The 12,669-nt window shown below is 45.7% G+C and overlaps 1 protein-coding gene across 35 annotated transcripts in view; it reads left to right on the top strand.

Moving 5' to 3' along the window:
• The window catches only part of CPEB1 (cytoplasmic polyadenylation element binding protein 1), a 105,595-nt gene that overhangs the window by 76,584 nt on the left and 16,342 nt on the right, over positions 1–12,669 (top strand). For 26 of the 35 annotated variants that reach the window (NM_001365245.1, NM_001365246.1, NM_001365240.1 and 23 more), the window contains one exon: positions 680–868. In NM_001365245.1, the coding sequence (NP_001352174.1) occupies positions 715–868 (154 nt within the window). In that variant the 5' untranslated portion in view covers positions 680–714. Of the gene's footprint in view, positions 1–145; positions 869–12,669 lie in introns of those variants that run through there. The other 9 variants (NM_001387077.1, NM_001365248.1, NM_001365250.1 and 6 more) reach the window with 5 other exon arrangements.

The following is a 12,669-nucleotide window of genomic DNA, read 5'->3' as shown; positions in this document are numbered from 1 at the left end:
ACTGTGAAGCTTTGCATTGGGCTGCAAAGCCAGGGCTTGAGCCAGCAGCTGGAGAGAGTCCAGGACTAGAGTGTTTTTGGGTTTGGGGGTGGAGAGCAGGGGGAGGGAAAGGGAGGGGCAGGAGGGCAGAGCCACACGAGCAGGCAGTCGGCTGCTTTGGCTCTGCTGTCGGCGGAGAGGACTTCAGTCGTGCGTGAGGGCTGCTTGGCCACCATTGCTGGAGACCGGAGGGCGCTGCCTTGCAACCCAGACTTAACGGCACTGCACCGGGACTATTCCAAGTAGCTGTTGTGCTGTCTTTCCCTGGGAGGCAAGTCTCCTCCCTGTCGTCCCCTCCTGCTCCTCCCCCGTTCTGTGAGGGATGATGCCGCTCTCTATTGCACGGCTCAGCCGGCTGATGTCACTGGCAGCGGGAAGCATCAGCAGCCTGATCACATGCTGGCCCAGTCTGTAATGCAGACGGGATAGGGGTGTGTGTGTGAGGGGAGGGGGCCTGTATGGCAACTGCTCTTGCCCCAGCGTCCCCAAAAGTGCAGAGGCAGCGGCTGCAGCATCCAGCCAGCTTGGATGTCTGGCCTGTGAGCCTGGGGAAACTATTATTAATAATATTTACTGTTGATAATATTGGGGAAAACAGCCCTTAACTCTGAGGTTTCTGCTGTGCTCCTTTCCAAAACAGACTTCCAGGACTCTGAAGAAACAGTTACAAGCAGGATGCTTTTCCCAACCTCTGCGCAAGAATCTTCCCGTGGCCTCCCAGATGCAAATGACTTGTGCCTTGGCCTGCAGTCCCTCAGTCTGACAGGCTGGGACCGACCCTGGAGCACCCAGGACTCAGATTCCTCAGCCCAGAGCAGCACACACTCGGGTGAGTGCCAGAGAATGAGTTGGCTGGGGTAAGGGGATGCATGGGGGTGGTGAACGAAGATATCCACAGCAACAGTTGTTCTGTTCCCCTTTGCATCACTCCCCACCATACACACATACAACATGGAGCTGTTTTGCAAGAGATGGAAATGCAAGCTGTGAGTGTGGCAGGACAGATGGCTCCACGTAAAGGCAGGCATGGCTCTTCCACTTACCCTGATAAATTCCCTGGAGTTGTTAGTCTGCACCTGGAGTGGCCCTGAGGAGGGTCCCCAAGGCGTGGTGGCCTTGTGCAGAAAAGATCCAGCTAACCCCCTGGTGCCCAGGCCTGTCTTGGAGATGATGAAGCAAAACACTTTTAGGTGGGGGAGGGGAGTTAAGGGGTTGATTACTGGATGACCAGAATTACTCAGTGGTTTTAAAAACCAGGGAGTTATATGAAGAGTGAGTGGTCTCTGAATCATGGCAAGGGAAGGATTTTAACCTCAGATGAGGCTGGATAATGCACTGAGATATTTGGAATTGACTTAACATAGGGTTCAGAGCATTGATCCTGGAAAGGGGTAGGCAGGGTGAGTGGGGTGGGGTAACTCCCAGCTATAGAATCTTTTTTTTTTTTCCCTTTGTGTTGAGAGTGACCAGCTGGATAAAAGAAGAGCCACTCCCCTTTAGGATCCCTTGTCTTCTTGGTAGGGTTCAGTGGGGACAAACTAAAGGGACTTCTTGGCAGCCCCCCCTTAAATTGCTTCTGCTTATACCTTCTGTTACCTGTTTATTTCCCTCTTGTGGTACAAGGAGGAGGGTTGCCTAAATACAAGTCTTGGAGTATTCAGGAAGAAATGTGAACTTAAACACTACAGGTATACTTACAAGCTACATATTTTGCTTTATGTAAATTATAATAAAGAGGTATTGGCAGCAGATACTCTAGGAAAATGAAAAGGTGGTAAGGGGCGGGGGGGAGGGGGTGGTACAGCCATTCGCTGTTGGTACTGACAGTGGGAAACACCAAGTCTGCTGTCCTTCCCTTCCCTCCCTGGTCCAGGAACCGGCAGCCATGGCAGCAAGGTACTGTCTTGTTGATTTCTGTGGCCTCCACCCTGTTTGGCGCAGGTCTTTTTTTAGAATGCTTTGCAGAGCCTGGGCCCGTTGTGTCTGTTAGGCATTTTAATGCCCAGTTGTTTTGGTAAAACCCCATTTAGGAGAGGGGTATTGAAATTGTTTTATGTGGATGTGGATGGGGAGAGCTTTACCTTAAGTAACTATCTCTGGGTTAAGATAGGGTTTCTTGAAGTACTGGCCTTCTGCTGACTCAGGTTTTTCCAGAAAGGTCAGCAACTACCCTGTTCCCCTGGGCAAGGAAGTATGGTATCACTGTTTGGTATTCTATGCCTGGAGACCACGGTACTTTGTTTTGTGTGTTCTTGACGCCAACCTTGGGGGCCTATGAAGCCAGCCTCCCCTGTCCTCACTTCCACCGTATCTGAGCAAAAGATAGAAGAACTCACACAGGAGATGGGCACCTGTCTGTGGGTGATCAGTGTTTGACCAAGGCACTGTCTTTCATTGGCATCAGGTTGAAGTATAGCCCTTCTTTGGCTCTCATTCTCTAAGCTACAATGCTCTTTCTGAAATACATTATAACATTGGGCCCATAGAAATGCAGGTGTGCCCCACTGGGGGCTTGGAGAGCTTGGTCTGAAAGTTACTATGAAATTGAGCTATTAAAAGTAGCTTGGATCTAGTCATAATATCCACAGCTTCTCCACCACCTGAAAGGCCTGTGCTTGTAGCTGTTTGTCTCTGAAATAGAAATGGTTTTTCTTTTCCACTTTCCATCCCAAGCACTTTAGTGATAAATATTACATGATTTTGTCGACCAGGGAGGGACTGCAGCCTGAGCCTCAGAATTCATAAGGACCAGAACCAGAGTTGCCCCAGCAGTATGATCTGGCTGTGTAGGCAGGTTAGTGTGGGTATGTTTTCCTTTCTGAGGGTTGAGGACACACCCATCCCTAATCGTCATGTTGCCTTTGGTTTTGGAGCTGTGGTGACAGCCATTGCTCTTCTTTCCCTGGGCTCTGGGCCTTCTTGGAAAGCCCACATGAGGGTACTACCTCCTGGAGTAGGATGCAGCCCTCCCACCAGCCAGCTGCAGTGCCAGATCGTGCACCCTCACCAGCAATGCGGGAACATGCAGCCCACATTCCAGTGCCTACACTGCCTTTCCGTCTGAAAACCAGCTAGCTCAGTTGCTTCAGTGAGGGAGGAGGCTTTCAACAGCTCTGGGCATTTTCGGAGTTATCCTTGCAGATACCCTGTTACACTGTTGTCTCTGTGTAGAGACCAAGATGCAAGCTTATTCCTTGAGCTCTGCTTGGTGATATATTGCCCAAGGCAGCTATGGCATCACATCTGACCATCTTCTACCACTCTTAAGTAATGAGCAAGGTTGGAGATAGTAGGGCTGTTGGCTAAATTCATCTGGCAAACGTCGAGCATTCGTTGTGTGCAGCACTGGAAGTACAACATTGATTAAGATAAAATTGTTACCTTTAAGAATCTCCGTGGCTATCAAAGGAAAACAAATGAGGAGGTATACCGAGTGCTGCATCTGCTATGATAGGGGCTTTCATTTTTTCCCCTAAGGATTTTCTTCATTGTAACAACCTTTCATTGGATTCTTAGCTTTAGGCTGGTACATGGATACCATTCTCCAGGGGCCAGAGTACTTCTGCTATCTAGATTTCCTTGGCCTCAGAGTCCTGCAAGAAGACCCTGGGATAGAGTCTGTTTTTGAGAATTGTACCTGCAAGGCCTGCATGGGCTTGGATGTAACACTTTGTGGGGTCCTTCTCTTCTAGACTGTGCCTACCCTGAGGCACTATCCCTTGATGGGGAGGAAGACTTTGGGGGCAAGATGAGTGTTATAAGTGCGTTTTTCTCATACCCCAGTGCTACCCTTTCTCATGTCCAGGGCTACCCTTGTCCTGCTTGCAATGTCTTAAGATCTGTAGTGGAACAGAAGGGCTGTGGAAACTGTCCTCAGTATCCTGGAATGGGGCATGGAGTGACTAATAACCACCATTTATCGACTAATTTTTGTGCTAAGTACATCACATGATTTTAATGCTTGTACAGATGAGGAAATAGGCTCATGGAGGTTACAAAGTGCCCAAAGTGACACAACTCCTGGAAGGCTCAGAATTCTAACCCAGGTCTCTGGTTACAAAATTCATATGCTTCCTGTTACACCTGTGGTCCTGTTAGCAGAACTCTAACATATTGGGTGAGAAAACTTAAAGTAACCATATACTACTATAGGGGCTATTCAGCTAGAGGTGATGTGCTCCCTTGATGAGATCTCTGAAGGTGAGGGCATATGGTAGACAGTTCCAGCCCCATCTTGATCCCTGAGTCTCAGCTTATCAGCTGTACCACCCGCTGGATTTGTCTTCCTGCCTTCCCCCTTGCGACTCTTTTGTGTGCAGCATTATGCAGCAGAAGAGTGAGGTGACTGAGACTACTGTGGGGGACCTGGAAACAAGGACTCTCTTAATGATGCCTTGTACAGAAGCCCAGTGGGCAGACCAGATGTGCAGTCTAAGGTTGCCAGAGGACATGTCTGTTTTTTGCCACTCCCCTTTAGAAGTCTCTTGAGGACTAACCTGTTCACACTCTGGTTTTCTTTTCTTTTCTTTTTTTTTTTGAGATGGAGTCTCACTCTGTCGACCAAGCTGGAGTACAGTGGTGCGATCTTGGCTCACTGCAACCTCTGCCTCCCGGGTTCAAGCAATCCTCTGCCTCAGCCTCCTGAGTAGCTGGGATTAGAGGTGCCCACCACCACACCGAGCTAATTTTTTTTTTTAAAGTAGAGACGGGGTTTCACCATCTTGGCCAGGTGGGTCTTGAACTCCTGACCTTGTGATCCACCCGCCTCGGACTCCCAAAATGCTGGGATTACAGATGTGAGCCACCGTGCCTGGCCCACACTCTGGTTTTCTACCCTAACTGCTAATCAGTGAATGGAATGTTCCCTGTGCTGTGTCACTTGCAGGCTCCCCATTGATCTGCAGGCTACATCAGCCTAAGATGAGTGGGGAGTCTTAAGCAATTTTCATCTGAAGCTTCTTCCAAACAACCATTCTGAGGCGACATTCAGAACGGGATTAGGTCTCTCTTATGTGGAACATGGACTTCCTCGGCCCAACCAGGTCTCTTGTAAATCTTCCTCAACTCCCAGTTCTCCAATACTATATTCCCAGCAGTACAACAGTGCTTGGCTAATGGCTGTCTAATACATATTTTTTGAATGAATGATGAGTGCTGAGCCACTGTGTTTATCCTGGTTGTTTTTTAACTGCAGAGTTCAGACAAGGTCTCTCCCATTCTTCTGCCTCCTGCTTGTGTTGATTTAGCTGGATGGACAGATTCTTCAAAGATCAGTATCTTGGGCCCTGTAGCTTCTAGGGGACGGTGATGTAATTATACAAAGTTTTCATCATACAGTGGAGCATGAGCTGTATTGTGGAGTCAAGTAGTCTATTTGGGAAAGCTTTCAGTGCAGAGAGGAGGGAGAACCTGGGAAGCAGTGTGGCCAGGGAGGCCTCCTAGGTGAGAAAGAAGTTGAGGTGGTTAGTGACAGGGGCAGGATGTGTGCTGACCTTACAAGGGACATGAATATGTCTTTTCTACAGGTAATGGAACTTGCCTGATGATCAAGACTGGGAGTTATACTGGGGAGAAGGGCTGTGTTTGTCACTAACTTGAACTTGTGGGATCCACAGTCGGGGGGAAGTCCACACTCTGTTTACCGCCACAGTAGAGATATGGTATAGAGTTGCAGATTTGGGGTCACAGGCAGAGTGGTCTGTTTTCATACATGGAATGAATGCTACTCTCCCCCCTTCCTATTCCTTCAGAGAGATCCTGAGTAAGCAACCTAGAACCAAGGATGGTGATAGGGAAGAAGGGTTCCAGGTATACGGCCTTATATCACAGGCTAGAAATAATGGCTCCTGGTCTGGATTTTCCCCGTTAGATTTTTTCCCCCATTAGACTATTCCCATTAGATAACAAATATCTGACCATCATGTCTTGGGGCTAGTCTCTCCTTCAGCTAAGCTCAAGCTCAGATGGTCTTATAATGCAGGCATTCAGTGCCAGGCTCTTGTTGCCATTGCTAATGCTGCCATCACACTCCAGGTGCCTTTGTACTCTTGGGGAAGGCTTCCGAAAATTTGAACAGTGACTCAGCTGTAAAACCGACAGGAGCTGGCATAGAAGGGTGAAAGTAGAGAAAATTAACAATCAGTCTAAAAATATCACTGCTGATTTGGTCTCTTATACCCTCTGAGGTAGCATTAATGAACTGGAACCCTCTGCCAGGTCCTCTCCTCCCCATGACTTCCCTGAGAGATGTCTGTAGCTGATTTCCTGCCAGCATGTGAATGGGGATGGGTACGTCTGTTCTAGGAAGAGCACAATGTCTTACCCATTTTTAGAAGATAGGAATTTGCTGGACACTTGGACACCAGAGCTGGAGGCACTTGGTAAACCTCAGACTTTCCATGATCCCTTGTGTTCTGGAGGCCAGGAAAGAACAGAGCAAAGAGGTCAGGGCCTTGGCCGTTATTGGAGATTGACTCTAGGACTTCTCACCACCCCTCCCCCTCCTCTAATCCATCTAGGTTAATACTTGACATTTGGAATTATGAAGTTGTGTGCCCCATGATGGGGAGTGGACTTTGAGATGAGACACTGGCCTGCATTATAAGGGACCTGTCATTTCCACTGGATTTTAGTTTGTGTGGCTTAAAGAGAATGCCTTTCCAGTTAGGTATGCTCGTGGCTTTGAATATAAATGGGAACAGTCTAACGCTAGCTATTTTGCTCCTTTCCTTCTGATTCCCAGCTGGTGGAAATCGGTGCTGCGTACTCAGCAACCTTACATAGGGCAGGTATGGTCTCATGAGCTGGGAGCAAGACAGGTTTTCTTTCTTGAAATGAGGTCCCCCCACTTCCCTTTGTCTTTGCTGCTTTGCTGCTTTCTTTCCATTGTCTTTGCTGCTTTCCTTCCTTTGATCTGTAGACACTCAGAGAACTGCCTGGCCAGACCCTATAGAGGTACAATTAGGTCACTCTAGGGCATCTGACCATGGGTGGCAGTTTCCACAAAATTCACTTGTTCTGTGGGTTGAAGGAAATATCAAACCAGCTGGCAAGTTCTAGGCCTCTTGTCTTCTTGGTATCTTCTAGTCAAATTTACAGTATATCCCTTCTGATTTAATATTTGCAGGAAACTGATGCATGGAGATGCTGACATCCCACGTGTTAATTCTGGGGCACCCTGATCCTATTCTCTAGGATGGCATTGCCCCTTTCTGAGCCATCAATCCAAGTCCTTTCCCCGTTTTTCTATGTGGTTGGTATATAATTCAGTGAGACACTCTTTCTTGCTCCTGTACTTGAATGTAGGAGTGTATTGCAGTGGCCCTGAAGATCCCAGTAGAGTCTGGGGAGGGTTGATTAGGACAGAGTGATTTCCACCCTGCCCCTCCTCAAGCAGAGGAGCTTTCTTCAACCTTTTTCTCTTTGAAGAAATTGAGACTCAGGGAAGAAGTATTGTCGCAGATGTGATGCGGTGAGTCACTGGTTTTTAAACCTCTGTTTTGGCGATGGGCTGGGTAGGGATGAGTTAAGGTTTATTCCCCTAAATCTGTATTACACTCTAAGTCAACATTGTGTCCTTAGGCTGGGCGCAGTGGCTCACGCCTGTAATTCCAGCCCTTTGGGAGGCTGAGGCGGGTGGATCACAAGGTCAGGAGATCAAGACCATCCTGGCTAACACGGTGAAACCCCATCTCTGCTAAAAACACACACACACACAAAATTAGCCGGGTGTGGTGGCAGGTGCCTGTAGTCCCAGCTACTCGGGAGGCTGAGGCAGGAGAATGGCGTGAACCCGGGAGGCAGAGCTTGCAGTGAGCTGAGATCACGCCACCGCACTCCAGCCTGGGCAACAGAGCGAGACTCCGTCTCAAAAAAAAACAAAACAAAAAAACAAAAAAAACCATTGTGTCCTTAAATTGAATATCCTTGATAGAAAAGGGTAGGGCCTTAGCGTACTGGCTCTATGGAATACGTACTCTCTGTCTTTCAGTAGAATTCAGCAGTCATTGTTCACCTGCTTTTTGCCAGATGTTGAGCTAATTGCTATTGGAGTAGGATGGTAAAGATTGGTCTTGGTATGCTTGGTTGAGAAGGCACAACTTTTTACACATGTGGGCCTGCAAATATCTATGCAGATTTTTTTGAGACTTTAAAAAGCATGTTTAAAAGATTATTTCTTCTAATAGAGACTCCAAAAGTACTCAATTACTGTCTTATCCTCTGGGATCCTAGTTCCTATTACTTGTGCTTGATTTCCCTCTGCTGATTAGATAAGTTACCTTGAAAGAGGCAAAGAAAGCCAAATGGGAATTGACTTGTTTTTCTTCCTGTCATTAAAAAAAAATGGAAATAATTTCAAATTTATAGAAGTTATACAAATAAAATTATACAAAGAATATTTGTAATCCTTTTTATCCAGAACCTCCTATTGTTCGTGTTCATTTTACCCCATTTGCTTTATCATTTGCACATTCTCTCTCCATGTATCAATACATAATTGTTTTCTGAATCATTAAGAGGAGAGATAATTGGCCCAGGCACGGAGGCTCACACCTGTGACCTGAGTACTTTGGGAGGCTGAGGCAGGAGGATTGCTTGAGCCCAGGAGTTCAAGACCAGCCTGGGCAACAGAGTGAGATCCTGCCTCTACCAAAAAAAAAAAAAAAAAATTAGTCAGACATGGTGGCATGCCGCTAGCTACTTTGGAGGCTGAAGTGGGAGGTTGAGACTGCAGTGAGCTGTAATTGTGCACCTGCGCTCTAGCCTGGGTTACAGAGGGAGACCCTTGCTCAAAAAAAAAAAAAAAAAAAAAAAAGAATAGAGATGATCTTACATACATTCATATGTAACAAAACAGTTAACTTTAGTCAATTTAAAGTTGATAACACTACTTTGATTAAACTGTCATTCATATTCCAGTTTTGTCAAGTGACCCAGTAATGTCCTTAAATCCTTAATAACATTTTTCTCTTTCTGCTCTAAGTAGGCCCTTGCTCCTTTTGGTTTTGCTCCGTGTGAGCTTACAAAGTCCCTTGGGTTGTCTTGAATGTTTTTCACAGTGATCAGCTTGTTCTAGCCATCACTTTTCCTGAAACTATGATAATCCTTACCATTCTTTTTTTATATTCTTATTTGTTCATGGTTACTGTGTCTGTCTTGCCTCTCTGTGTTGTCCTCCACTCCCACCCAGTGTTTTCAGAGAGAAGGAACTCTTAAGTAAATGTCCTATATAGCCTTGTTGATTTCTTTATCTGATGCCTTTTTTTTCTCTTAAGTATTTACCATTTTAGTGTGAGAACTGTATTTAAATTATAACCTCCAGTCTTTTTTTTTTTTTTGAGACAGGATTTTGCCCTGTTGCCCAGTCTGGAGTGCAGTGGCACGATCATGGCCCACTGCAGCCTCAACCTCTTAGGCTCAAGTGATCCTCCTGCCTCAGCCTCCTGAGTAACTGGGACTATCAGTGCATGCCATAATGCCTGGCTGATTTATTTTTTTTAGAGACAGGCCTTACTATGTTGTCCAGGGTGGTCTTGAACTCCTGGTCTCAAGCAGTCCTCCTGCCTCAGTCCCCCAAGGTACTGGTATTACAGGCGTGAACCACTGCACTTGGCCATAACCTCCAGTCTTTAAGTCAGAGGAAATAATTATATATGAAAGATGTTTGGGTATGATAAGGCAATTGATTAGGAATTTGAAGTAGCAAGCCTCGGGTTTGTATGGATCAGTGCTTCTAAAACTTAATGTGTATACACATCTCCTGGGGATCTTTTAAAAATGCAGATTCTGATTCAGGTCTGGGGTGGGACCCAAAATGCATTTTTAATGAGTTCCTGTAGTGGCAAGGCCCTAGATAGATTTAAGACCCAAATACTCTAGGTCCTAAAGCAGGGACTTCTGGTAGGGAAGATCAGTAGTCTGTAGTTGATGGTCTTACAGGATTCAGACAAAGGAAAAGTGCTGAGGAATGTGAAGACAAACAGATGTGAAGTCCTAAAGATTAAAAAAAAAAAAAAAAGTAGCTAGTGAATGGTACTTGGAGTGGGAAAGCATCCAGTCTCTGTCACTCATTAGCTGTTACTTTTACAAACTGACTGCCCCAAGTCTTGGTTTCCTTTTGTTAAGATGCAGTAGTAACAGCCACTTCTTAGGATTTGGTGAAGACTGTTTACCTAAAGTGCTTCTAACACAGTGTTTGACATGTGCTAGACGTTCAGTAAGTTGTTAGAAGCTTAACTGAACCTGGTCCAGATTGCGGAACAGATGAATGACCATGAACTGTGAGCACTTAACGAAGTAGAGTTCGTTAGTGACCAGCGTGGGTTTTCATGCCATTTTCTACTTAGGTTTATTGCCAGATTAGAGGATCACTACAGAGATAATTCCTAGCTTTGTACAGGAATTTGACAAAGCCTCAAGATACCTTTGTAGGCACAGTAGAGAACTTTCAAGTTAGCAGAGGTAGATGGGTTTGTGGCTGGTAAAACAGGTGTACCAACACAATAGTGAATACAAATGATGTGAATGAGGAAAGGGGTCTGTAGTGCTTACCATGTTGCTTTTTTGACTCTTTCCAAAATACCTTTTAAAAAAAACCTTGGGTGAGGACAGTTACCAGAGCCCATACTTGCCATCTTTGGTGTTTTCAGATACAAGCCTTTGGGGCAGCATCCCCTCTTGAGTATTTTTTCTGGCGTTCTGCTTTATGCTGTTTCTCCCTTGACAACTCTCAGAGCTCTCTGCTGTGCCACTTGAAACTCCCCTTTTCCAGGGTTAACAAACTGGCTTTCTTTTTTTTACTGGTGAATGCTCCCCCCATTTTCTGCTTTAGCTGAAGACTTTTCCTTTAAGATGCTGCTATGCCAAGTAGAGCCTACTCATTGTCCCAGGTCTCTGAAAATCTCATTGTTTAACTCCAGGCCCAGTTATCACCATCGGTCTTTTTAGTGTCCACATGAATGACTTATCTAATATTTCAGACTTCTCACATTCTAAGTCAGCCACCTCTACCATACTCTGGACCTTGCCATCCTCAGAGCTCTTAATCTTCAATGTCCCACCTCTTCGTGTTTATATTGTCTGCCACCCTCATTCCTCTTATAGCTATCAGCCTATTGAAATCACTGGTTTTCCATTTATTTGCTCCTAATCTATTGACTTTGTTCTGTCTTTAGCCTATAATGCACGACCCATTCTTCATTTCCTTTGTTGCTGTTATCATCAATTCTGTTGTCACATTTATTCCTTCATACCCCCTTGGGGGAACAAAATCATAGCTCTGTATGGCTTCAGTGTCCATCCAGGTATCTGAGCTCTGCTGGAGAAAATCCTTTAAGTCCAACTTAGTTTTCCTCTTTGCTGGACACTGGTTCCTACTGGTGCTTTTCCTTAGTTTCCCTGGTCAGCCTTCTTTGCTATCCACACAACAGCTCTGCAGATCTCCTTTTCCGTGTCTCTCAGTTACCCTTAAGATAAAATCAAGCTGGGTGCAGTGGCTCATGCCTGTAATCCTAGGAGTTTGTGAGGCTGAGGTAAGAGGATTGCTTGAGCTCAGGAGTTCGAGACCAGCCTGGGCAACATAGATGCTACCTCTACTAAAAATTTTTTTTAAATCAGCCAGATGTGGTAGATATCACATGCCTGTAGTCCCAGCTGTTCTAGAGGCTGAGGTGGGAAGATCGCTTGAGCCCAGGAAGATTGAGGTTGAAGTGAGCCACTGCACTCCAGCCTGGGCAACAGAACTAGGCCCTGTCTCAAAAAAAAAAAAAAAAACAAATGACAATAAGATAAAAACTATTTAACCTAGTGGTCAGAGTTCTTTGTGATTTGAATTGTTACCTCACTGTTCATCACCCTAACTTGTTTTTGTGAAATGTGGAAAAGGATGAGGCCCTCCAGGGCATTGGTACCACTTTTAAGACCAGTGCATGTGATCTGTTGATTTTTCACAGTGCCTCTTTGCCAGGCTTTGCAGCATTAGGGTGGAACCTTGAATAAAATCTTCACATATTCTGCCTTCTCAGGGCATGGACTCTACAGGCTTTGATTTTGGATTTCTATCAGGCAGGAGTTTGTCAAGGAACTTTTTTTTTTCAGAGTCTTGCTCTATCACCCAGGCTGGAGTGTAGTGGCGCAATCTCGGCTCACTGCAACCTCTGCCTCCTGGGTTCAAGCAATTCTTGTGCCTCAGCTTCCCGAGTAGCTGGGATTACAGGCGTGCACTTTCACGCCTGGCTAATTTTTGTATTTTCAGTAGAGACGGGGTTTCGCCATGTTAGGCAGGCTGGTTTCAAACTCCTGACCTCAGGTGATCTACCTGTCTCAACCTCCCAAAGTGCTGGGATTACAGGCGTGAGCCACCACACCCGACCAAAGGATTATTTGAGAAGTTTGTCAGGGATTATTTCTGATGGTTATCAATCCAAGCATTTTGAGACACTTAGTTTTAGCATACAGTTAAATTTTAGAGCTTTGAAAACTGCTTCAAAAGGCAATTTCAAAGTTAGGAATGTTTCCTTGAAAAACAAAATGCTAAACTAACTCCTTGCTGGATGTGCTGTGGCTCCACCCCACCCACATCCCACAACATACATACATATTAGACTGGCTAGATATAAAAAGATTGACCAA

This window comes from Homo sapiens, chromosome 15, assembly GCF_000001405.40.
Source record: "Homo sapiens chromosome 15, GRCh38.p14 Primary Assembly".
Taxonomy (NCBI): domain Eukaryota; kingdom Metazoa; phylum Chordata; class Mammalia; order Primates; family Hominidae; genus Homo; species Homo sapiens.
The sequence above is the reverse complement of the archived record's forward strand: the minus strand, read 5'-3'. Positions and strand labels throughout refer to the sequence as shown.